At 54.2% G+C, this 24,998-nt stretch overlaps 1 protein-coding gene and 2 long non-coding RNA genes across 8 annotated transcripts in view, besides 8 other annotated features; 2 read left to right on the forward strand and 1 right to left on the reverse strand.

The window, feature by feature from the left end:
* RPH3AL (rabphilin 3A like (without C2 domains)) overlaps positions 1 to 24,998 on the reverse strand; it is a 140,419-nt gene that overhangs the window by 108,620 nt on the left and 6,801 nt on the right. For 2 of the 4 annotated variants that reach the window (NM_001190412.2, NM_006987.4), the window contains exons 2-4: positions 12,751 to 12,926; positions 6,459 to 6,571; positions 264 to 407 (exon numbers count right to left, since the gene is read on the reverse strand). In NM_001190412.2, the coding sequence (NP_001177341.1) occupies positions 264 to 407; positions 6,459 to 6,535 (221 nt within the window). In that variant the 5' untranslated portion in view covers positions 6,536 to 6,571; positions 12,751 to 12,926. The remainder of the gene's footprint in view (positions 1 to 263; positions 408 to 6,458; positions 6,572 to 12,750; positions 12,927 to 24,998) is intronic. The other 2 variants (NM_001190413.2, NM_001190411.2) reach the window with 1 other exon arrangement.
* Positions 9,777 to 10,357: an enhancer, noted in NCBI's record as "H3K27ac-H3K4me1 hESC enhancer chr17:180576-181156 (GRCh37/hg19 assembly coordinates)". NCBI's record gives its function as "activates a minimal SCP1, AML or CMV promoter by ChIP-STARR-seq in primed H9 embryonic stem cells {active_cell/tissue: H9 hESC(primed)}" and the evidence as "EXISTENCE:reporter gene assay evidence [ECO:0000049][PMID:30033119]".
* Positions 10,358 to 10,936: an enhancer, noted in NCBI's record as "H3K27ac-H3K4me1 hESC enhancer chr17:181157-181735 (GRCh37/hg19 assembly coordinates)". NCBI's record gives its function as "activates a minimal SCP1, AML or CMV promoter by ChIP-STARR-seq in primed H9 embryonic stem cells {active_cell/tissue: H9 hESC(primed)}" and the evidence as "EXISTENCE:reporter gene assay evidence [ECO:0000049][PMID:30033119]".
* Positions 10,511 to 12,480, forward strand: RPH3AL-AS1 (RPH3AL antisense RNA 1). 3 transcript variants are annotated; one of them, NR_164141.1, is made up of 3 exons: positions 10,511 to 10,713; positions 10,792 to 10,858; positions 12,048 to 12,480. It is a non-coding gene; the product is annotated as an RPH3AL antisense RNA 1 (long non-coding RNA). The 3 variants fall into 3 exon arrangements; NR_040011.2 differs by having other exon boundaries at positions 10,511 to 10,709; NR_164142.1 differs by having other exon boundaries at positions 10,511 to 10,709; positions 10,795 to 10,858.
* Positions 12,893 to 13,669: an enhancer, noted in NCBI's record as "H3K4me1 hESC enhancer chr17:183692-184468 (GRCh37/hg19 assembly coordinates)". NCBI's record gives its function as "activates a minimal SCP1, AML or CMV promoter by ChIP-STARR-seq in naive H9 embryonic stem cells {active_cell/tissue: H9 hESC(naive)}" and the evidence as "EXISTENCE:reporter gene assay evidence [ECO:0000049][PMID:30033119]".
* Positions 13,670 to 14,444: an enhancer, noted in NCBI's record as "H3K27ac-H3K4me1 hESC enhancer chr17:184469-185243 (GRCh37/hg19 assembly coordinates)". NCBI's record gives its function as "activates a minimal SCP1, AML or CMV promoter by ChIP-STARR-seq in primed H9 embryonic stem cells {active_cell/tissue: H9 hESC(primed)}" and the evidence as "EXISTENCE:reporter gene assay evidence [ECO:0000049][PMID:30033119]".
* Positions 15,070 to 15,364: a silencer, noted in NCBI's record as "tiled region #15212; K562 Repressive non-DNase unmatched - State 20:ReprD". NCBI's record gives its function as "represses a minimal TATA promoter and a strong SV40 promoter by Sharpr-MPRA in K562 cells {active_cell/tissue: K562}" and the evidence as "EXISTENCE:reporter gene assay evidence [ECO:0000049][PMID:27701403]".
* Positions 15,070 to 15,995: a biological region, named in NCBI's record as "Sharpr-MPRA regulatory region 15212".
* Positions 15,221 to 15,995: an enhancer, noted in NCBI's record as "H3K4me1 hESC enhancer chr17:186020-186794 (GRCh37/hg19 assembly coordinates)". NCBI's record gives its function as "activates a minimal SCP1, AML or CMV promoter by ChIP-STARR-seq in primed H9 embryonic stem cells {active_cell/tissue: H9 hESC(primed)}" and the evidence as "EXISTENCE:reporter gene assay evidence [ECO:0000049][PMID:30033119]".
* Positions 17,930 to 18,224: an enhancer, noted in NCBI's record as "tiled region #2375; K562 Activating non-DNase unmatched - State 10:DNaseD". NCBI's record gives its function as "activates a minimal TATA promoter and a strong SV40 promoter by Sharpr-MPRA in K562 cells {active_cell/tissue: K562}" and the evidence as "EXISTENCE:reporter gene assay evidence [ECO:0000049][PMID:27701403]".
* Positions 17,931 to 20,389, forward strand: LOC105371425 (uncharacterized). The gene is made up of 3 exons (XR_942215.3): positions 17,931 to 18,007; positions 18,441 to 18,820; positions 20,208 to 20,389. It is a non-coding gene; the product is annotated as an uncharacterized LOC105371425 (long non-coding RNA).

The following is a 24,998-nucleotide window of genomic DNA, read 5'->3' on the forward strand; positions in this document are numbered from 1 at the left end:
CATTCACGCCCTCAGCATGGGGCGCACAGCTCAGCTAGCAGCCCCGTCTCACAGAGGGGTGTCCTGAGGCCTCAGCGGGCTGGGTTACACTCCCAGAGTTCAGACAGAGCACCCTTCAGCAAGGGCTGGAGTCAGGGACCTCCTCACCCACTCCCAGAGGTAAATAGCAAAACCAGGACCCGGAGTGCCGGCCTCCCAGTCCCCTGCGCTTGCGCCAAAGCCCTTGCTGTCCTCCCACTGAGCTGGCCCCGGCCCCGCCTCACCCGATTCTCTGCTGCTCCAGGACGTCGAGCCGCTCTGCCCTCTGGATGACCTGCAGGATGGCCTCCACCTCCGCCGGGCTGAGGTGCTGCTTCCTCCTCTGCTTCTCCGTCTGGTAGGTGTGCACGGACCAGCCCGTCTGCAGCCTCGAGAGGGAACAGCACAGACGGCGTGGAGGCCTCCCCGGTGCAAACTCCGGCAGCCCCTACCACATCCACCAAGCCCCCCCGAGAACAGTCAGTGGACGGCCCAGGTGCCGCGTGCCGGGACGACGAGCGCGGGCAGCAGAGATGGCCCAGGTGGCAACAGAGATGGCCCAGGTGGCAACAGAGACGGCCCAGGTGGCAACAGAGACGGCCCAGGTTCCGTGTGCCGGGGTTGGGATTGCGGGCAACAGAGACGGGGCAGGTGCTGTGTGCCGGGGACAAGGCACATGGGCAACAGAGACGGCCCAGGTGCCGTGTGCAGGGGGCAAGGCACGCGGGCAACAGAGACGGGGCAGACACAGGCTCCAAGCGCCAGCCCTGCCATCCGCCAGCTCCTGGGCCTTGGCAAAGACGGCAGCACCACCTTAGCCCGGGAGCCAGAAACACAGAATGTGACGCTCACGTACACAGAGAAGGCCAAGGTCACAGCACGAGAGGTGTCAAGGGAGGAGCATGAGAGATTATCAAGAGAAGAAAAAGGGAGCTCGGAGCTCCGTAAGGTAGTGAGACGGAGTTCACCAGGGGACAGGAAAGCCATGTAATTAGGGTGAAGACACAGCGTTGATATGAACACTTTGAAAACTAGCAGGTTCGAGGCGGGGGGGAAGCGAGTTACAGAAGAGGAGCCGTGGTGAGGGCAGGTGAGGGCGGGCAACGGCGAGGCAGGGCTGGGACTGGGTCCGGAGGTTGAGCTGTCTCTGCTCCACTGGGCTGCGGGACTGACGCCTCCTGAGGCTGCAAATGGGGCGGGGGAAGGACTCAAACTCCTTCTATTTTTCTGGACAGGGAGAGAGTGGCAGCAGCAGATCAAACCCCGGAGCCCCTGCCCTGGGTGGGTGCCAGCTTCCCTGAGACATTCCGTGCCTGTGACATTGCTGTGTGCAGAGATGAACGAGACGGGAAAAGCCACTGCACCCTGAAGAACTACAATATGGTGGGGGTGGCAGATGCCAATCAATGACACAGATACCTATTTAACTAACAGGTCTAAGGCGTTTTCATTCTACGCATTACCAAGTACCCGCTGGGACGCCTGGCCTCTTAGGTGCCCGGGACAGGCTGCTTGGTGGGACGTGCAGGTGGGGTCAGGAAGTGGATAAATAAGAGAATTACCCAGCAGGGAGGGGATGAGGCTCTGGAAAGGCTCGCTTTCTTTAGGGAAGTGTCAGAAGGCAAGAGTCCTGGAGGCAGGACCTAGGGCAGCAGGCTGAGGGAGGCGGACCCTTTCCTGGGGGCCCCCTGACACAAGATGGGCCCCGGTGGTCTCATGTCCTGCCTGGTCCCGGCTGTTGCAGCTAACGGTTCTCTGTGGCCGACACAATAGGAGTTTGGAAAGCTAATACGCATATCCTTTCTCTGTCAGGGGGAGCTGGGGGCTGATGAATGTGAAGATCTAGGGTTTGGAGTCCACTGGACAGTCTTATCTTCTGGTCCCGTCCCTTCCCAGATGCGAGACCTCGGATGAGGCTCTCACCCTTGGTTTTCTGATCTGTCTCTTTAAGGGATGCCATGAGAATTAATGAGGCAGGGTAGATAAGGTGCTTTTACATAGCAAATTCCCAATTGCCTGCAAATGGTCGTTAATAGTGATAACTGTAATTATCATGGGGAGGGCTGTCAGGCATGGCTTTACCATGTGTGAGCTTTTGCAGGATGAACAGGTGCTTCCCCATGGAAGGAGGGAGGCGGGTTCAGGCAGAGGAGATCACACACGAAAGGCAGGGGGCATGGGTGGTGTGTGGTGTTTCAGGGATCCATACTTCTACACTGCCGGTTTTTCCAATTTAAAAAAAAAAAAACTGCAATGCCCTAGACCAACGCTTTCCAAGCAGTGCTCACGGTGCTGGGGAAGGAAAATACCGGGGCAGCAGGGCAGGGCTGGAAGGGGGGCAAGGCCAGTAGAGTGGGCAGCCTCTGCCTGGACTACCTGCCTTGCTCCTATGAACTGCACACATGCAGGGGTTCAGGCCCCAAAAAGCAATATCCCCTCCACAACCCCTACCTACTGGTTTGTTCCATCTGAGCATTTCGGAGGCTCCAGGGGTCAGTGATGGGCCAGGACACACTTCGTGTGGTTCCCGGGCCAGGGGAAGGGAGTTGGAAGCCAGGGCCCCCAGGTTCAGGGAATCACCACTCCCTCCACCCTCCAGCTAATGTAGAGAAAGGAAGGGTCCCAGGAACACACAGAAGGAGGGACAGAAGCATCAGCACCGCCACCACTGCCTGTCCTGATGGACACGGGTCCCACGAGCTTGTTCTGGGGCTGGTGATGGCACAGGACACTACAGATGTCTTCCATCGGACCCTCACAGTCACCCCGAGGCAGGCCCGGACCCTCCATCACCCCGCGAGACAGTCCAGACCCTCAGTCACCTTGCGAGGCAGGCCTGGACCCTCAGTCACCCCCCAAGGCAGGCCCAGACCCTTACAGTCACCCGGTGAGGTGGGCCCAGACCCTCAGTCACCCCGAGAGGCAGGCCTGGACCCTCACAGTCATCCCACAAGGCAGGCCTAGACCCTCAGTCACCCTGCAAGGCAGGCCCAGACCCTCAGAGTCGCCCTGTAAGGCCCAGACCCTCAGCCACGCGGCGAGGCAGGCCCGGACCCTGAGGCACCCCGCCCCATTTCTCAGAGGAAACGAGGTGCGGAACGTAGCTAGCTAGCAGGAATCTCGGGTTGGCCTCCACCGCTGACTCAAGGCCTGAGCCCTGACCTGCCGAGTTCGTATCCAGCAGCTGCTGACAGCCCTGCTTGGGAGCATTTCAGTCTCCCCCAGGGCCGCCTCCGCACCCACGTTCCTGCCTCCACCTGCTCCGCCTCCGGGCCCCAGTCATCCACGTCCTCTCATCTCACCTGCTGCCAGGCCAGGCCCTGATGCCCGCCTGCGGCCATAGCTCCACTGAGCATGCTGCCCACCCCCTTGCAATGTCCCCTCCATGCAGCTGACGGAGGCCGACTTGAGGGCACCTGACATCGATGGGCTGCAACCTCCAGGAAGAACCTGCACGTCTGGGAGCCCCACCTGTCCTTCCCCTGCACGTTCCCCGCACGGCGCCCTCGTCTCTCAGCTCACCAGTGGCTCCCTTGTGTTCTAGGCTTCGTGCAGTCCCCAGGCCTTTGCTCATGCTGCACCCTTCACCTGGGGCCCCTGTCTCTCTCCCTAAACCTTCTGTCCACCTCTCACTCCTATTCTTTCTTTCTATCTTTCTATCTATCTAGCTAGCTAGCTATGTACCTATCTATCTATCTATCTATCTATGTCTATTTTGAGACAGAGTCTCGGTCTGTCGCCCAGGCTGGAGTGCAATGGCACAATCTCAGCTCACTGCAACATCCGCCTCCCAGGTGCAAGCAATTCTCCTGCCTCAGCCTCCTGAGCAGCTGGGATCACAGGCATGTGCCACTACACCCGGCTAATTTTTTGTATTTTTAGTAGAGACAGGGTTTCACTATGTTGGCCAGGCTGGTCTCAAATGCCTGACCTATGATCCACCTGCCTCAGCCTCCCAAAGTGCTGGGATTACAGGTGTGTGCCAACACGACCGGCTAATTTTTGTATTTTTAGGAGAGACAGGGTTTCACCGCGTTGGTCAGGCTGGTCTTGAGAACTCCTGGCCTCAGGTGATCCGCCCGCCTCAGCCTCCCAAAGTGCTGGGATTACAGGCGTGAGCCACCGCGACCGGCCTATTCTTTTTAAAGACTTCTTTACACATGACCTTCACCTGGAGGCTTTTCCTTGATCCCCTCCAAAACAGGTAAAGAATCTACTCTCAGAGTTCCTGGAAGGCCTGGGTATACGTCCTTCATTGGGCTGACACATTATTACGAGACAACATGAAACCCTCCATCTCCCCTCCGGAACATGAGTCTCTGGAGGACCAGGCCCTGCCCCTGGCCCCTGCCTACCTCTCCATCTTCCTTCCACACTGTCCACCCTTCACATTTTGCACTCACAACACACTGACCTCCGGCCAGGGCCTCCACATGCCCTGTTCCTTCTACCTCAGGGCCTTTGCACATGCTGTTCCTTCTGCCTGGAAGCGCTTCCCCCCTACTCCCATCTAACATTGGCCCATCTTCTGGGTCCCAGTGTAGGCAGCACACTCTCAGCCCCTCCTGATCCCCAGAGTAAGTCACACCTTCACCCACGTCCCCACCGCCTGTTATCACCGTCAAAGCAACTTACCTGGGTAACTATTCAAATAATGCTCACCTCTGCCCACCTGTGCTTTAAGACCAGGGACTGTGTTGGTCCTGTTCACTGCTGTGCAGTCAGTGCCTGGCACATAGTAGGGGTTTAGAAAACATCTGGTGGCAGCTGGAGGACTGAGGGGAGCCCCGAGCTGCAGCCCAGATATCCCTGAGGGTCCCACGGGACACAGCTCCCAGCTCTGCGGCTGGAGTTTAGTACGCCTCTCCTTTCCAGAGACTGTGCCAGGTACTACAAGGCAGTGCACCCCAGGGGAGGGGATAAAAGCATTCTCTCTTCCAAAGGGGCTACGACAGCATTTGGCTGCTGCTGAGAGAGAGAGAAGGTCAGGGAGAGCTGAAGGGAACCCTGGAGGGTCAGGAGTCCTGCTGGGCCCTGTCGAGAGCACAGTGGCGGAGCTCTCCTTGGAAACTCCTACCCTGCCCGGGAGGACACTTCATCTGCCTGGCGTCAGAGGACAGAGAGGGAGACGGACCGACCTCACCCACTGCGGGGGCCGCATGAAGGAGCCGAGCCCTCCTGGCGAAGGGGACCAGTTAACTGTGGTGCAGATTCCTGCAAATCACGCATGACTCCGCTCTCCTGGGGCGTTTCGAATTAATCTTTCCATCCCCCTTTGATGTTTCAGCTCTGTCCCCTGCAGGCTCATAACATCTAATTGCAATTTTTTTTAATTTGGTCCCACTTGGGAAATGCTTGCTCCCGTAATTGGCATGGGTTGAAGGATGAAGGGGCCCTTTTGGACTTATCACATGCCAGAGACGCCCAGCCCCTCTGAGGGACAGCGAGGGACTGGAAGGCAGGCAAGGCATCTGAGAACCCCCATCTCCAGCCACAGTGCACAGTCGGTGGAGATGGCCTGACCTACCCAGAGCTGAGAGGTCACTAGGCTGAGGGACAGCAGGAAAACCAGGGCCAGGCGCGGTGGCTCACGCCTGTAATCCCAGCACTTTGGGAGACCAAGGCGGGTGGATCACTTGAGGTCAGGAGTTCGAGACCAGCCTGGCCAACATGGTAAAACCCCCGTCTCTACTAAAAATACAAAAATTAGCCCATTGTGGTAGTGGGCACCTGTAATCCCAGCTACTCGGGAGGCAGGAGAATTGCTTAAACCAGGGAGGCAGAGGCTGCAGTGAGCTAAGATCGTGCCATTGCACTCCAGCCTGGGCGACAAGAAAAAAGAAAGCCAGGACCCCCAAGGGAAGAAACTGGAAGCAAGGAACTAGCGAGATTCTCAGGAGAGCACAGAGAAGGCCCTGGGGCAGCTTGGGGCTGGTTGTGCTTCAGCCTCAGGGGCAGCGCCTCGTCCACTGCAACAGACTTTTGTTCCCCCGTCTGACAGTGCCAAGCACTGGGCTATGACTGGGCATCCAGAGATCAAAATCTCCCTGTCTTAAGGGACTTGCAGTCCTACAGCTCAGTGACAGGAGAGAAGGCACACGAGGTGGTGTGGGTCCCTTACAGCCTGTTGATAGAAAGGACACACAGGCTAAGGAGTCAGCTGGACCCAGGTGTGGGTTGCAGCCCTGCCACCCACAAGTTAAGTGATGTGGGCAAGGAGCTCAGCCTCACTTTGCTCATCAGGGAAATGGGGATAAATTCTGCATGGTAGTTAAATGAGTGAATGGCTGTGTCCAGGGCCTGGAGTGTGGCATGCATCCGACAGGCACCTCTCTCCAAACATCTCTTTCTGGGCCCCTGGGAATGAATCTTGCTGAAGACAGGAGAGGAGCAGGGAGGCAGAAGGAAGGGACGGCCTGGGGGGCCCCAGAGGTACTCACTTGGCTCGAAGGGCAAGCTGCCGGTCATTGGGGCAAACCCACTGATCATTCCCGCTGCCGAAGATGGTGTCGGCCATGGCTCGGAGCACCCGGCTGGGGGTGGGGAGTCACATCTGAGATGAAGGAGGGAAGACGAAAGAGTGTGCATCATTGGCTGGGGTACAGATGGCAGACAGGTTCTCTGTGCCCTCAGGCCCCTCCACACCATCTCCATGCACGATCCCCACTGATGCCTGGAATCTCACTGTGGGAACCATCTCTCCAGCAAAACACTCTTCCCTCAAGGCTCCTCTTCAGAAGGCTCATGATTCTAGGAGGGTGACCAGGTGGATCATGTGGCCGAGTGACAAGAGTGAACATGACTGGCAGGGCATCAAAAGGTTAGAGTCAGAAAGGAGAGAGGAGGCTCACCCTTAGCAGTTTTCAACTCAACCCTGGAGGCCATCTGCTCCCTGCCCCCTCCCAGTACAGCAGGGGCCGAACTGAGCACGTCACCCAGCAGGAGGGGCTGGGCTGGGGGGTGATGGCCAGACAGGCTGGGAAACCCTACTCCTTTCCCAAACCTGGGGACCTGGCTCTCCTTCCCAACAGACTCACACCGATGATCACAATGCCCTCGAGGGCAGGCAAGAGGGCAGGGGGTGGCAGCTACAGCCAGGATTGCCACCCAGCACCATGCCAAGGGGAGCCGTCCATAGACACTGCCATGAAAATGGCACCTGGGGATCCCCCAGGGAGGTGGCCCTGCTCCAGGACCCCCTGAGGGCTTCACCTGTGCACTGTCTAGTGTGCCGGCTTTCTCCCTGCCTCCCAGGACAGGATTGTCTTTGGTGGTCTGAGGATGCCACGCGTGCATTCTGAAGGGAGTGTGGGATGAGGCCGAGGGTATCTGAATCCCAGAGCAAGGAGGAGGGGCTCTCCTGAGCCATCCACACTCTCCTGGTCTAATCCCAGCTAGGCCAGTGGTTCTCAAACCCAGGGCCCCTTTACACTCTTAAAAAAGATCCAGGTTCGAAATCCGTTTGACACTTCCTCAAAATGTTGAACACAGACTTACCATATGACCCAGAAACTCTACTCCTAGTTACACACCCAAGAGTACCCAAAACATACGTCCTCACCAAAACCTGTACACAAACGTTCTTAGCAGCACTATTCATGACCGCCAAAAGCAGAAACAACGAAAATATCCATCAACTGATGAATGAGGAAAATGTGCTATATCCATACGATGATTATTATTTACAATGGATTATGATTTACAATGGATTATTATTTACAATGGATTATTATTATTTACAATGGAGTATGATTTACAATGGATTATTATTTGGCCGTAAAAAGGAATGAAGTGCTAATACCAGCTACAACATGGATGAATCTTTAAAACATCCTAAGTAAGAAAAGCCAGTCATAAAAGACCACGTATTGTATGATTCCGTTTATACAGTGTGTCCAGAATAAGCAAATCTAGAGAGACGGAAGGTGAGGAGTGGTTGTCAGGGGTTGCAGGAAGAGGGGAACAGACTCCCAGTGGGTTCAGGACTTCTTTTTGGGGTCGTAAAAATGTTCTGGATTAGACAGTGGTGATGGTCACACATTTCAAGAATACACTAAAACCACTGAATCGCACCCTTTAAAAGTGTGAATTTTATGGCATGTGAATTACAACTTCAGCACAAACACAGACCATGAAAAAAAAAATGAATTATAACTCATTCACAGGCCAGACATGGTGGCTGAGGCCTGTAATCCCAGCACTTTGGGAGGCCAAGGCAGGAGGATTGCTTGAGGTCAGGAGTTCAAGACCAGCCTGGCCAATATGGTGAAACCCCGCCTCTACTAAAAATACAAAAAAAATTAGCTGGGTGTGGTGGCGAGTGCCTGTAATCCCAGCTACTGAGGAGGCTGAGGCAGGAGAATTGCTTGAACCCTGGAGGTGGAGGTTGCAGTGAGCCGAGATCAAGCCATTGCACTCCAGCCTGGGCAAAAAGAGCGAAACTCCGTCTCAAAAAATATATAGATATACATATATTCTTGAGAACTCCAAAATACATGGGCTATGACCATTGCTAGTTACCACACTAGAAATTAAAACTGAGAAAATCTTTAAAATGTTGTTAATTCATTAAAAATAATAAACCCATTAGACGTTCACATAATTTACATATTTTATGAAAAACTACACTTACAAAGCAATTAGACAAATGACACTGTTTTACATTTTTACAACTCTTTTTAATGTTTGACTTCACAAAAAACAGCTGGACCTTCATATCTGATTTTTCATTCACGCATTTGTGGCAGGTTGTTTCGCTGAAGTCCTTGAAGGACATCCAGACCCTCACAAATACGTATGATGGCTGAAAAGAGGAGGACTTTTTTTACTTTCCAGAAATTGTAAATATTTTTCTTTGATATTGCACCCAAACTCAACAGATGGTAATTTCTTAAAGATTAGTTCAAATGTGGCATCTGAAACCACATCAATGAACTTCTCCTTTTCTGTACATTTGTGACAGGATAAAACCCAGAGTCCTATGACTATTCTTATGGAAACACTTTTGACCTGTGGATCTCCGGAGGGTGTTGGGGGACCCCCAGAGAGGCCTGGGCCCAGCTTGGAGAACTGCTTTTCTCGGCCAGTGCCACCCATTTCTATGATGACCAGCAGAGGTAACATGCAGACCGCCTCCGCCTGACCACACAGGGTCCAGGCCACAACCTTAACCACACTGGTCGCTCTACCCCATGCACATGTCCAGGCACCTGCTCTTCCAGATCAGACCTGACCCTCCCCAGTGAGCTGCCTCAGCAAAGAGACCTGGGCAGCCCCAGACCCCAAACAGCCAAGCGTGGAAATCCCATGGCCGGGCCCAGATCACCCAGGACCTCCTCAGATGGAGGCTCAATCTTCTCCCAGATGAGGCTAATGGACAAGCAAGGAAAGACAGGTCAAAAATGATACCGTCCTCAAACAACTTTAAATCAGTGCCCCATCCCAGCCTTTAGAGCACTATGGTTTGCTTTGCTTTTTAAAAACTTCAGTTATCTTGTGCAGTCACACTGCTCCACATGGGTGTACAAAGCATTATTCTTTTCAAAGTAAACACTAAAATATACTACAGCCCACACGGGGTGGCTCACGCCTGTAATCTCAGCACTTCGGGAGACTCAGGTGGGTGGATCCCTTGAGCTCAGGAGTTTGAGACCAGCCTGGGCAACATGGAGAAACCCCGTCTCCACTAAAAATGCAAAAATTAGCCAGGCGTGATGGCGCGCACCTGTAATCCCAGCTATTCGGGAGGCCGAGGCAGGATAATCGCTTGAACCTGGGGGGTGGAGGTTGCAGTGAGCTGAGATCGCGCCACTACACTCCAGCCTGGGTGACAGAGCGAGACATAATCTCAAAAAAAAAAAAAAGATCTGTGAAATTTTGGCTTTTATGTAAACTTACTAGAAGTCCAGGAACAAGTCAACTGTCTTCCTGAGCCTCAGTTTCCCCATCGGCACCCAACAGAGCTTGAGACAGGCCGGAGCAACCGCCTCCTGCAATTTCAATGCCTGATTTGGACCCTGCTGAGTTACATGAGGGAGGCGAGGGAGGCAAGCGAGGGAGGCAAGGGAGGCAGGCAGCCAGCAGGCAGGCTGCTGGCTGCTCCCACGTGGGAGGTGGGAACTGAGCCCTCCCCAGCCCAGTCCACAGGACAGAGAGGAGGAGGCCGCGAGAACTGCTTCCTACATGTCCCCACCCCTCTCACTGCTGTAGCTTCAGGGCAGAAGAGCCACAGAGCCAAATGCTGCAGAGATGAAGGGAGACGGAAAGAGCCAAATGCTGCAGAGATCAAGGGAGACGGAAGGATGTCGCCTCCAGAGCTGGGGCCACGGGCAGCGCCAGGGCAGGTTCATCACTGATGGCAAGTCTGTGGCTGACCACGTTCACAGGGGTGGCCCTGAGCAAAGGTCGGACATGAGGACCCAGGAGAATTCAGGCCCCGGCTCTGGGACGGCTGTGCACCCCCACCCTGGCCGTGGCTGGCACCTCAGAAGGCACAGCTGTCCTTCACTCGCACGGAGCAACCTCGGGACAGATGGTGGGAGAGGAAGGGCAACTCGAGGAGGCACATTTTAGGAAACTGCCCACGGAGCCAGTTTCGATTCTCCAAACCTCGTCAGCATGCAGAGGCTCCCTGACTCGGCAGCAAGGAGGGCCTCATCAGCCGACCCCCATGCCCGGCACCCCCTTCACCAGTGGGTAAACTATGCTCGCCACCACTCAGCACTCACCTCTTGGGCTCAGAGGGCAGAAAGTCTGACCCTTCTCTCTTAAAAGCAGGGTCCTGAAAACTCCAGAGAGCAGTGCCCTGTGCATTAAACACAGACTGCGCCCTTGTACTCAGGTATGACCATTTGTCCTGGACAAAAATTAAACTGATGAGGGAACAAAATAGGGCCTTATAGAAGGTGAGTGGAAAAGCAGGGAAGGCAAACCCCCAAATTCAGGAGGGAGGATGGAATTGGCCTGGGGAGCAGAGGCAGGAGGTTCTGTGGACAGGGCTGGTGGAGCTCTGGGGGGAGCAGAGGCAGGAGGTTTTGTGGACATGGTTGATGGACCTCTGCGGGGAGAAGACGGAGGAGATTTTGTGGACAGGGCTGGTGGAGCTCTGCGGGGAGCAGACACAGGAGGTTCTGTGGACAGGGCTGGTGGAGCTCTGGCCACTTCCTCCGTAAACTAGAGACGTGATCCCCAGGGCCAGGTCTGTCTCTGAGGTCCTACCAGCTGGGACAGGTAAGAGGCTGGGGAAGGAGGAGCGTGTGTGTGTGCGCGTGTGTGTGTACAGGAGCATATTCAATGAGCACATAGGTCAAGGCTGCTGATGGGGAAGGCAAGCCCCTCGTGGAGAGGGTGGGCATCCACCCAGGAGCCCGCCCAGAAGTGTTCAGTTCTATCGACATGAAATTTCCATTTCTCCTTCCCTGCTGGACCTTGGGTGCCCTAGAGGGTCCCTACATCCTCCTCCTTCCCTCCCTTCCTGATGCCCACACAGAGCCTGCTGCAAAGTAGGTGCTCAGGGAATATCCATTTAATTCAACTGTATTTCATCAGAGAGATGTGGCTTTCCCAGACAAGGAAGAATTCAGAAAACAGCCCAGACATGCTCAGAGCAGACAGCTGGACTCTAACCAGGCTCTGCGACTTGCTGACTCACAGGCCGTTTGTCCCTCAAGATTCCCCACGGGGTAGTCGGCCTCAAGGCAGCTCCACCTGACGGCTGAGCTCGCTCCTTGCTGAGGGGCTGGTGCCCCCAGGAGCCTCCTCTGGGAAGCTGAGACCTCCTGGTGCCACCTCGACCCCGCCGGGCGACACACGCTGAGCAGAGGCAGCACTCGGGCTGGCCGGCCCAGCAGGCAGATGTTCCGGAACCCTTGTAAAACCCCGCAGTACAGGGACTAGGAGGACCCGAGGGGTACAGGGAACGGAACAGGAGTTGCCGGTGATAATTTCCCGAAAAATTCCTAGGGGACAGAGGCTCATCAGCCCCAGGCAACTTCCTGAGACAGATCGGTAAAAACAACCCCTTCTTCCAGGAGGATGCAATTCTCTCTCTAAAGTCGAGAGCTCACCACCCCGGGCGTTCGTCACTGCAGACATCACTGCAGACACAGAGACGGCCATTAGAGCTCACCACCCCGGGCGTTCGTCACTGCAGACATCACTGCAGACACAGAGAAGGCCATTAGAGCTCACCACCCCGGGCGTTCGTCACTGCAGACATCACTGCAGACACAGAGACGGCCATTATGCAGCCTCACGTGGTCACTCCTGGGGGCGGTAGGATATTTTATCCTAAAGAGAAAACACCTTAAATTCTCACATCAGCCACCCCCATGGCGACTCTTAACACCTTAATGTAGCACCTTCCAACTTTTCCTGGGCATTTATGTACAAATTGTAATAAAATTGGGTTCTTACTGCATACGCTGCTTGCTGGTTTCTAAATAAAATTGGGTTCTTACTATATATGCTGCTTGCTGGTTTTTTAAACCACCTTGTGCTTTCCCACAGTATTAAAGTTCTTTAAAAATATGATTTTAAACTATAACTTAGTATTCTGAATACAATACGTTTTACCATCTTCCTGTTTGGGAGCACATGGATTGTTTCCAATTTTGCTCGATTATATGCAGCACTGAAATGGACATCCTGGCAGATAAATCTCTGACGACTGCCTTAGGATAAGTTCCCAAAAGGGAAATGAAGTGCATTTTTTCAGTGTATTTTTTGAGATACCTTTTCCATAGTCAGGTTCACAGCCACTCAAAGCTGTCAGCTGCAGGCCTCATGCTTGCTGTCTCCAAAGTGCACGTACAAGTGTCCACTACACAAATTCTGCTGGAGGCAGCTGTGTCTTGGTAGCCTAATCTGCGGATCTCCAATTAGATGGTTTCAATAAGGCAGACGATCCTCTATTCGCAAAAAAATAAATAAATAAAATAAAATAAAGGGCCTCTTCTTTGCAAACAGTTGCATCTACTTAAAAGAAGGCTTCTATCTCCTTAACAGCATTTGTGGGCTCAGAAGCTGGTAAAGCCAGCACTGGCTTGAGAGCCCTGAGTGACCAGTGGCTGGGGCCGGTCACATGACACCCCTCCAGCCGACTGTTCCCCGCCCCGACTACAGGGTCCCGTAAACGGGCCTTGGGAGCTCATCCCCGTACAGGCTAGGAAGCAGTGCGCATAGTCATCACTCCAGGAGAACCGCGGCTCGACCCTGACCTTCCAAAACTCTCAGCAGCCACAGCACAGTGAGAAAAACAACAGCCGCCCGCAGCTGTCTGTCTCTAACACGTATCAGACTTTGAAAAACATATCCGGAGGCAAAACAACCTGCCTCAGAGAAGCCCGGCAAACACCCACGGAGTCTCTAGCCCGTCCACTGCGGGGGGACAGGGACAAGGCAACCACCCCAGCAAGTGCAGCTCCTTCTCCCCACGCCTTCTCCGAGGGCCAGCCCATCCACTGCGGAGGGACAGGAACAAGGACAGGGACAAGGCAACCACCCCACCCAGTGCAGCTCCTTCTCCCCACGCCTTCCCCCAGGGCCAGCCCATCCACTGTGGAGGGACAGGGACAAGGACAGGGACAAGGCAACCACCCCACCCAGTGCAGCTCCTTCTCCCCACGCCTTCCCCCAGGGCCAGCCCGTCCACTGTGGAGGGACAGGGACAAGGACAGGGACAAGGCAACCACCCCCAGCAAGTGCGGCTCCTTCTCCCCACGCCTTCCCCCAGGGCCAGCCCATCCACTGTGGAGGGACAGGGACAAGGACAGGGACAAGGCAACCACCCCCAGCAAGTGCGGCTCCTTCTCCCCACGCCTTCCCCCAGGGCCAGCCCATCCACTGCGGAGGGACAGGGACAGGGACAAGGCAACCACCCCAGCAAGTGCGGCTCCTCCTTCTTCCAGGGCTGTGATCGCTCCCCACCTTACACCCTGGCATTTTCACCTCTTCGATCTTGTTTCAGGGACACGTTCACTGATATAACTGAGGCTTCAGACTCCTAGGGTGTGGCACGAACGAGCGCGCTTTCATCCAGCCACAGGGTCCGACCCACGGTGAGCGTGGGCAGCATACCCGAGCTCCTGAGACCAGCAGATATGCTTGGCTGGGGACGCATTCCCAAGAGCACAGCCACACTGTGACCCCCGAGCGACTGTGACAAAGGGGGCCCGGGTATGAGGGTGCAGGTGTCCGGGTGAGACTATCTCTATGGTGAGAATAAAGGAAATGATGCAGGGTGAACAGTGGGAAGGAGGCGGCGGACGGAGGGGCTGGGGGAAGTCGCTGTGCCTAGGACACCCACGTGCGAAGGCCAACACCAGCGCTGCAGGACGCCAGTTGGTGTCGGCCACAGAGAGAGGGCTCAAGTGCATTTTCCACACCAGGGGTGGCTGGTGCCCTCTGAGCCGCTGCATCACGATGCTTAGAATGAAATGCACGGCCCGGCCAAGAGTGGCAGAACCGCCCGGCCGGCCCGTAGACTGAGGAGGGGTAATAAATGGTGGTCGTGAGCCCCCACGTTTGGACAGGTATGCTTGTCATGCAGTGTTACCCCAGCAATATATAACGGATAAAAATGGCATCTGGCTGATAAAATCCCAACCCTGACCTCAATGTCCAGAACTATTCAGTTTGATTTTCCACTTGTGGTGGAAAGGCCAAAAGACCAGACGAGGGAGGCAAACAGGAGACACAAGAGGCAAGCAAAACCCACTCCCCTCCCCTCCCAGGTGCCAGAGGAAGTACCCCGTGGAGAGGGCCTGGAGGCTTCGCAGGTGGCGCCTGCAGGGCTGGAAGAGAGGCTTCATCCCAAGTGCTAAATCTGAGCTGGCGCCCAGAGGGCTGGGTTGAAAAGGGGCTGGAGGCTGCCTCCAGCCTCCGTAGGAAAGCATGCTGTGATCTGTTAGTCACGTCTGCCCCCGGCGTGGAGGGAGAACGGCTGCACATTTGCTGCTGCAGAGTGTGCCATCCCACTGGGCGCTGTGCCTAGGCCAGGGCGACAGGGAGGAGATGGGGTTTAGAGGAGGGAAAAGAAGCTGGGACAAACATAAAAGAATACTTGCCACCGAGCCGGTGCTTCCCGAGGCCTCGAAGACACTGTGTGGGAGCCCTTCGTCCAACACAAGGTATTAATATCCGAGGGGACCCTTAGCAACAGCTCTGACATCTGCTCTGTTACTATGACACGGGAAACACGAGGAGGGCAGCAAGATAAGGTGAGCCCAGACGTCAACATTTCCTCCACCTGTCAGGCGGCGCTGGGAGGATTAAAGACTCAGAGAGGGAGCCTCAAAGGCCTGTCTAAACGCCCAAAGAACCACTCACTCGGAAGCGTTGCAGGCTGACTATGCACCAAGCGGGCTCGAGTGGATTCCAGAGTTGAAGCAGGAGCCCCGGGGAAACCAGTGCCTGACAAACCTCCCTCAAACTCCACCGCCCCCGGGCACCCTGCCAGGTCTGCCTGCTCGGGGCGGCTCCCCCTCCTCCCAGCTCCGATGCTCCTCCTCTCTTGCCCAGACCGTGGCAAATCTTCCTCATCTGCCTTGGAACCTGCTGGGGCTCCCCGTTGCCCCTCTTCACGTACAGCCAGAGAGACCATCCTTACAGCCCAGGTCAGGCCGTGTGATTCCCCTGCTCAGAAACCTTCGGTGGCTCCCCACTACTAAGGAAACAAGCCCTAGCTGCCCTCAAGGCCGTCCATGATCTGGCACAAACCACCCTTGCATTCTGCCAGCCACCCCTCTGCAAAACTGGTGCTCCAGCCACCAGGACCTTGAGGCATTGCAGCCGCCCAGCCTTGTCTCCGGCACCCTCTCACCTGGAACGCCTTTGGTTCACGCTGTCTACCTCCTCCACCTGGGGGTGGCCCAGCACCACCTCCCCTGGGAATTCTCCAGCTCCTCCCATCAGGCTCCCATTCGGCTTGAGCCCACCGCCCTCCCGTCAGCATTTCATTCCGCCCGCATCCTCGGGGGCATTTACCTGTTACCCCGATGCCCAGACATGGTGGGTCCAGTACCCCTTCAGGGGACTAATTTAACCGTCAAGAGTTTGCCACTCACTGGAACTACGTACATCGGTTACGCACCAATAATTTTTTTTTTTGAGACAGGGTCTTGCTCCGTTGCCCAGGCTGGAGTGCAGTGGCACAGTCACAGTTCACTGCAGCCTCCAACTCCTCGGCTCCCGTGATCCTCGCATCAGCCTCCCAAGTCGCTAGAACTACACGCCTGGCTAATTTTTTAATTTTTTGGTAAAGACAGGGTCTTGCTCTGTTGTCCAGGCTGGTCTCAAACTCCTGGGCTCAAATGATCCTCCTGCCTCAGCCTCCCAAGTAGCTGGGACTATGGGAGTACGCCACGACACCCAGCCTGCCAACAAAATTTTATCTTAAAAACCGCCTCACGGCATAAGGCTCAGCCTCGCTGGCCTCCTTAACCTGCCTCTTTCCCTCTGCCACACACGGGCTCTCTACGGACCCTCCAGCCCCTGCTAAGACTCCTGCAGCCTTTCTTGCCTGTGTGCTTTGAGGAGCAGCAATCCTGGACATGCCACCCAGGACCCCGTCCAGGAGGCACCCCAACTTGGTCACAGAGCTAAGCGTCTGCTCCTGTCCTCGGCAGGACCAACAGCGGCACCTCTCAGTTTCCTTGGCCTCGTTCATTCAACACACACACGCTGGGTGCTGACGAGGCACCAGGCCCGTGCCCAGCCGCTCAGTCTCGCTGCTCGAGGGCTGGGCAGGGGTTTTTTTTGTACCCCGGCAAGGCCCCTCATGGGGCACACGTAGGAGGTTTCACTTAATCCTGTGGGTCTTTTTTAACCTTGGAAAGTAAATCCTTGGGCATCTTTAATGACTGGCAACTCCCGCTCCAGTGGACCCCAAATCCCTGCTCGTCTCTTCATCTGACGCTGTTCTCATTCCCAGGCAGAAACACTCTGCAAAGCCTCCAATGCAAATGAGATGTGAAATAACCTACTTCTCCCCCATCTCAAGTGCCAGCCCTCAGATTTTAACAGCCACAGCTCTGCCTACGTGTCCCCAGAGGCATAGCTTGCTTTTGTCTTTTCTGAAAGGCCTGAAACAGTGTAGGTGGAACTGCTGTATCAAGGCAGTCACAGAGCTGAAGGTGGTGACAGCAGGGAAACCAGGCTGGGCGTGGTGGCTCACACCTGTAACCCCAGCACTTTGGGAAGCCAAGGCAGGAGGATCGTTTGAGCTCAGGAGTTCGAGACCAGCCTGGGCAACAGAGCAAGACCCTGTCTCTACAAAAAATTTAAAACTTAGCTGGGCATGGTGGCACATACCTGTAGTCTCAGATACTCAGGAGGCTGAGAAGGATCACTTGAGCCCAGGAGACGGAGGCTGCAGTGAGCCATGATTGCACCACTGCCCTCCAGCTGGGTAACAGAGCAAGACCCTGTCTCAAAAAAAAAAAAAAAATTTACAGGGTAACCACACAGAGAGAGAGAGAAAGAGAGAAGAGAAAATGAAATTCAAACTTACTGCAAACGTGACCAGAATAATACGTAGGTACCTGTGGCCCCTGAGCACTCTCTGCCCAGAAAATGCCCAAGTGCTCCCAGGCTGCCGGGCACCTGGCTTGGGACGGGCAGTATCGAGCATTCATGCTATTTGTCTTTTAATGCAGAAACGCAGGCCTGCTTCCATTTACGTGATGTATGTGGGTCTGGAAAGTCCCAGGCAGGCAGAATCTTTGCAGAGGAAACCTGATTTCGGCTCCCACCTGGGAACTGCTTGTTGAAGGAGCCCAAGAGAAACCTCTCCATGAAGCAGAGAAGCTTCTAGGGAAAAAGAAGCCTCAACCCTCCTCACCCGCTTGGAAAAGGCCCAGTCCTCAGGTGTGCTGAGGGCGGTGCTCCAGGCCCCGGGGGGCAGCGTCCCACACCCCTGCCTCCGCCAGCAGCTTCTGCACGGCCCAGCCCAGACTCCAGCTCCCAGGTGGCTCTCCGCGGGTCCTGCCAGGTACTTCTCCAACCTTCCTCCCCTCACCTCACCAGAGCCAGGGTTTGCTTACAGCCAGCAGCCAAGGCCATCCCCGGCTGACCTCGCCTGCTATCTGTGGGCCCAGCTGTCTCCTCTTGCTCACAGAAACACAAACAGGCGTTTCTCTGTTGCAACTCCAGGGTTAGGCACTGCCCTGCCTGGGAACAAGCTGTCCGGTTCTCTGCACACTACCCATTCTCCTGGCAGAGGCTAAGACCCCAAATAAGTGAGAATGCCCATAAGAGGGCCAGCGGAGGGCTCAGGCAACAGTGGGGGCCACCCCAGAACATGGCTTGCTACAGAGAAGACAGGCAGGGGGAAGGGTCAGACAGAACCACTGGCACTTAGCTAGGAGTTTTCAGGGCCTCTAGGAGGGGCCCCCAAGTTAACAAACATCCCTACACGTGCCCAGCCTGACCCTGCACTACCAAACTGGGAGAGGAAGAAGCCGCCTCCATGGGTGCTGCCCACCTGCCAGGTGCCCGCCACTGGCTGACCAACTGGAATCATCACAAGCCCCAGAGGACGACGTGATCATCACTCCTTTCAGAAAAGAAGAAACCAGCTCGAGAGGGGCAGCCACGTGCCCAAGGCCCCATAAGCTGGCACCAGGTGCCCAGTTTGGCCCAACGGAGCTGGGCTGAGCCCAGGTGCTTTCTATCCCCCTCCTCCTCCCAAGGCGTCGGGTTGCAGGTGCGGTGCCTACAGGTGCCTAACGAAAGCAATGAGCCGGGTATTCTCCGAGCACCTGCCACACACCCAGCAGCGGGGAGCACAGAGTTCCCAGAAACTGTAAGTCGCGCAGTAATTGGCCAAACGGGAGTTCTGAGAAGAACTGGGCCGGGGCAGCCTGAAGGGGATTGCAGAGGAGACGGGCTGGCTGTTTCCCGGAGCAGGCAGGGGCTGGGACCTGTGGGACCTCAGTCACCAGCCCTCAGTGCCACTGTTGTCCCAGCCTAGGCCCTCAGAGCAGAGGCACAAAGGAGCTGGTGTCTGAGCCCTGGGGCATTTTCAAAGACAGCCCCTGCTCCCCACCAGACCCACTGCCTGAACCAGGTGTCACCCAGACCTCCTCAGTCACCCCATAGTCCTAAGGGGTCCCCCTGGCTCCAGGCTCCCCAGCTCAGACCCGGCCAATCCTGCCATCAGACAGGCTCTCCAAAGGCCCCGCTCCACCCAAACACCTCAAAATCAAGCCCAGGGTCCTCAGCTGGGAGTTCATGGCCATCCACAGACTCCACCGTGCCTTGCCAAATTTGTCTCCAGACAAACACACACCTGGTGTCATACCTCATGCCCAGGCCCAGGCCTCCCCACATCCACACTCACTGCCCTGGGCTCAGGCCTCCCCACATCCACACTCACTGCCCCGGGCTCAGGCCTCCCCACATCCATACTCACTGCCCCCCACCCAGGCCTCCCCACATCCACACTCACTGCCCCCCACCCAGGCCTCCCCACGTCCACACTCACTGCCCCCCACCCAGGCCTCCCCACGTCCACACTCACTGCCCCCCACCCAGGCCTCCCCACATCCACACTCACTGCCCCCCACCCAGGCCTCCCCACATCCACACTCACTGCCCCCCTCCCAGGCCTCCCCACATCCACACTCACTGCCCCCCACCCAGGCCTCCCCACGTCCACACTCACTGCCCTGGGCCCAGGCCTCCCCACATCCACACTCACTGCCCCCCACCCAGGCCTCCCCACATCCACACTCACTGCCTCCCACCCAGGCCTCCCCACATCCACACTCACTGCCCCCCACCCAGGCCTCCCCACATCCACACTCACTGCCCCCCTCCCAGGCCTCCCCACATCCACACTCACTGCCCCCCACCCAGGCCTCCCCACATCCACACTCACTGCCCCCCACCCAGGCCTCCCCACATCCACACTCACTGCCCCCTCCCAGGCCTCCCCACATCCACACTCACTGCCCCCCACCCAGGCCTCCCCACATCCACACTCACTGCCCCCTCCCAGGCCTCCCCACATCCACACTCACTGCCCCTGCCCAGGTCTCCCCACATCCACACTCACTGCCCCCTCCCAGGCCTCCCCACATCCACACTCACTGCCCCTGCCCAGGTCTCCCCACATCCACACTTACTGCCCAGGGCTGAAGCAATCGCTGCCTCGTCCTCATAAGCACACTGTTTTTACCTCTTCCCAGAACTTCGCAGTTTCTGGTGAACGTGTCTGACCTCTCCTACTGGACCAAACACTCCCTCAGAGCAGGATGCCTCCTGCCCATATGGTACTGAAAACTGTGGCACTGGAATAGAACTGAGAGCCCAGAAATAAACCCATACATCCGTGGTCAACTGACTTTCAACAAGGATGCCGAGACCATACGACGGAGAAAGAACAGTCCTTCCAACAACATCTGCTGGGACAAGTGCAGAGCCACCTGCAGAAGGATGACGTGGACCCTGACATCACACCATTGCAAAATTTAACTCAAACGGATCAAAACCTAATGCAAGAGCTAAAACTATGAAATTCGTATAAGGAATGTCAGGGTAAATTTTCATGACTTCAGATTTGGCAGTGATTTCTTAGAGGACACCAAAAAATAGGTGTCATCTACATTTTGGTGTCATCTAAGATTTGGCAATGATTTCTTAGATGACACCATACACACCAAAAGAAAAAAGAGACAAATTGGATTTTTTATCATAATTTTTTTGAGACGGGGTAATGCCGTGCTGTTTAGGTTCATCTCAAACTCCTGGGCTCAAGTTGTCCTCCCACCTCGGCCCCCCAGATAGCTGAGATGACAGGCATACACCACTGTGCCTGGCTGACTTTATCGTAATTTGTAAATCTGTCATAATTTACAACTTTGTCCATCAAAGGACACTATCGAGAAGGTGAAAAGACAGCCCATAGAATGGGAGAAGATATTTGCAAACCATATATCTCATAAGGGTCTAGTATCTACACTATATAAATAATTCTCACAACTCAACAACAAAATGACAATTCCATTTAAACATGGGCAAAGGATTTGAAAAGACATTTCCCCAAAGAAGATACGCAAATGCCCAAAAATCACATGAAAAAAGACTCAATATTGTTAACCATCAGGAAAATACAAATCAAAACCACCATGAGATACCACTTCACATCCACTAGGATGGCTACACTAAAAAATATGAAAAATAACAAGTGTTCGTGAGGATGTGGAGAAACTGGAACACTTGTATCTTGTTGGTGGGAATGGAGATGGTGCAGCCACTATGGAAGACAGTTTAGTTCCTCAACAAGTTAACACACAATTATCATCTGACCCAACAATTTCGCTCCCAGGTATAGACCCAAAAGAATTGAAAGCAAGTGTTCAAATTAAAACCTGTACACCAATGCTCATAGCAGCACCATTCACAATAGCCAAAGGGGGAAACAACTCAAATGTCCATCAACTGGGAAAAGGACAAACAAAATATGGTGTATCCACACAAAAGGATATTATTTGGCTATAAAAAGGAATGAAGTATCGATTCATGCTACAACACAGACAAACCTTGAAAATCTGTTAAAAGAAGCCAGTCACAAAAAACCACATATATGATCCCATTTATGTAAAATGTTCAGAATAGACAAATTTATAGAGACAGAAAGTAGATTAGTGGTTGCCTAGGGCTTGTTGGGGTCAGGGAAGGGGGACAGCAAAAGGGAATAGGGTTTCTGTATGTGGTGATGATTGGTGATGGTGATTAGAAGGTCATCCATGACATCCCCCATTACTCTGGTGAATGAAGACCATCTATCCCAAATTAATATGTTATTAATTTATTCTCCTCATAGAGAATTTATAGAGTCTCATTGACCAACCAGCCAGACATGATGCTAATCTGGGTTCCAAAAACAAGAAACACCACGACAGATCAAGGAAATTGTTAGTGATGGAATCCAAATGTCAGGCATGTAAGTTTCACTATAACATTTGTTCCACTTTGCTGCATGTTTTTAATTATTCATAATAAATTATTATAAAAGTAAAATTACAAGTAGGTATTTTGGGCATTCAACCTGTAGAAACCAGGTTCACAACATTAGGAGGACACAGACAATGACCTTGCAAGGTCCCACTTGCAAAAAAACACATCCATGCCTGTTCCTGCTCCCCACAGGTGTCCACAGGCGACACACCAGGTGACATGGCTGCCTCAGGGAAGCAGAAGATGCAGGACTTCCCTATCGTGGCACAGGACTGAGGGCTGTGGAGTCAGTCTCTACGTAAACACATTCAGCTCTCTGAGTTCAAACCAAGTCAGAAAATGGGCAGAGCCACTGCTTTTATTAGCTCCAAATGAATCTGGCAAGGGATGCTGGGACTGACAAAGCAGGCGCTCAACCCTGTCACGCACTCCAGGTAGCCCTGCCAGCAGGCTGATGAATTCTCTTCTTCTGACAGGTGACAAAGGGCAGTGGTTACAGGTCTGGGCTCAGGGTCGCGTATCTGAGGTTTGCATTCTGGCTGCGAATTATGAGCTTGGTGACCTTGGGCAACTTCCTTCATTTCTCTAAGGCTTGGGTGCATCATCTATAAATGAGTAGCTGCCTCCTGGGGCTATTGGGAAGAATAAATTCAACCGGTGGTTCTGAATCGGAGTGATTTTGTCCCCCAAGAGACATTTGGAAATATCTGGAGACATAGTTGCGGGTGCTATTGACTACTATCCATCCAGTGGGTAGAGGCCAGGAATGCTGCTAAACATCCCTGAGGCACAAAACAGCCCCCATGACAGAGTTATCCAGCCTAAACGCCAAAGCACTGGAGTTGAGAAAACCTGATAGAGGTGGTGTAGGTAACACAACCAGCACAAAGCCTGTCACAGTGTGCATTCTCAGGGTAGGGCCATCATGGCCATCCTCATCATCACCATCATCATCATAATATTCACCATCATCACCATCAGTCATCATCATTACCATCACCATCACTGTCATCTCTGTCATCACCACCATCATCACTATCATCACCCCCATCATCACCATCATCATCGTCACCACTGTCATCATCGTCATCACTATCACCATCATTGTCACCATCATATTCACCTCCAGTCATCATCACCATCAGACATTGTCATCATCACCATCATCATTTTTACCATCATGATCACCAACACCACTATAATCACCCTCATCATCATCACCATCATCACTATCATCACCATCACTGTTACATCATCATCATATTCACCTCCATCAGTCACCATCACCACCATCACTGTCATCTCGGTTACCACCACCATCACTATAATCATCACCATCACCATCACCGTCATCATTATTACCATCATCATCACCAACACCACTATCATAACCATCACCACCATCAGACATCATCACCATCATCACCCACATCATCATCACCATCACCACCATCAGACATCATCACCACTATCATGACCATCACCCACATCATCATCACCATCACTGTCATCTGTGTCACCACCACCATCATCACTATCATCATCACCATCATCATGATCACCATCATCATCACCAACACCACTATCATCGCCCTCATCATCACCATCATTGTCAATCAGCATCACCATCATCACTATCATCACAATCACTGTTACATCATCACCATGTTCACCTCCATCAGTCATCATCACCACCATCACTGTCATCTCAGTTACCACCATCACTATAATCATCACCATCATTGTCAATCACCATCACCATCATCACTATCATCACAATCACTGTTACATCATCATATTCACCTCCATCAGACATTGTCACCATCAGTCATCACTATTCTCATCATCATCCTCTTCTGTATTGGGGGAAATGCCCAGAGGGGCTCATATCTGGGCAGGAGACCTGATGAATAGAAAGTGTATATACTGGGAAGAGGAATCAGCATGAGGGGAAAGGCCACCTGGCCTTGCTGAGAGAGGCAGGAGGCCCGTTGGTGAGGCCAAATCAAAAACCATCCTGGCCTGTAATCCCAGCATTTTGGGAGGCCAAGGCGGGAGGATCGATTGAGCCCAGGAGTTTGAATCCAGCCTGGGCAACATGGTGAAACCTTGTCTCTGAAAACACACACACACACAGAAAAAATTAGCTGGGCTCAGTGACACACACCTGTAATCCCAGCTACTTGGGAGGCTGAGGTAGGAGGGTCACCTGAGCCTGGGGAGGTTAAGCCTGCAGTGAGCCATGATCGTGCCACTGCACTCCAGGCTGGGCTACAGAGTGAGACCCTGTCTCAAAGGCAAACAAACAAACAGAACACCCTAAATCCCATCTGCAAAGGTGGCAGTAGCTGGCAAGTCTACAGCCACTGCTGTGAGGACTCCATCTGCCTGGTCACTTTCCCACCTCTCTAACTTCTCATTGCCATTAGCAGGAACTTCCTCAAACAAAACCACCGGGGGGTTCATCCTCAGAGAAGCTGGAAGGGGGAATCCCTGGGGTTTCTACGCCTGTATAGCCAGGCTTGGAGAAACAGAAACAGCCACCCAGGACTGGCTAGAGAACTGAGTCCTGGGGCAAGTGAGAGGAGGCTAGGAGCAGTGCCCTGAGGCTGAGAAGTGGGTGCCTGCTGGGGCACGCGTGCTCCCCATCTGCACGCACACCCTGCTGGGGCACGCGTGCTCCCCATCTGCGCGCACACCCTGCTGGGGCACGCGTGCTCCCCATCTGCGTGCATACCCTACTGGGGCACGCGTGCTCCCCATCTGCGTGCACACCCTGCTGGGGCACGCGTGCTCCCCATCTGCATGCACACCCTGCTGAGGCAAGCGTGCTCCCCAACTGCCCCATCTGCCCGCACACCCTGCTGGGGCATGCCTGCTCCCCACCTGCACACACACCCCGACTTTGCACTGTAAGGACAAATGGGATGCCAGTGGGCTCTGAGTCTCGAAGACCAGGACATAAGGGAAACACAAAATGTCACATGGGGGAGGTGAAAGGTTTGTCTGTCAATGATCAA

Source organism: Homo sapiens, chromosome 17 (assembly GCF_000001405.40).
Source record: "Homo sapiens chromosome 17, GRCh38.p14 Primary Assembly".
In the NCBI taxonomy this organism is placed as follows: Eukaryota; Metazoa; Chordata; class Mammalia; order Primates; family Hominidae; genus Homo; species Homo sapiens.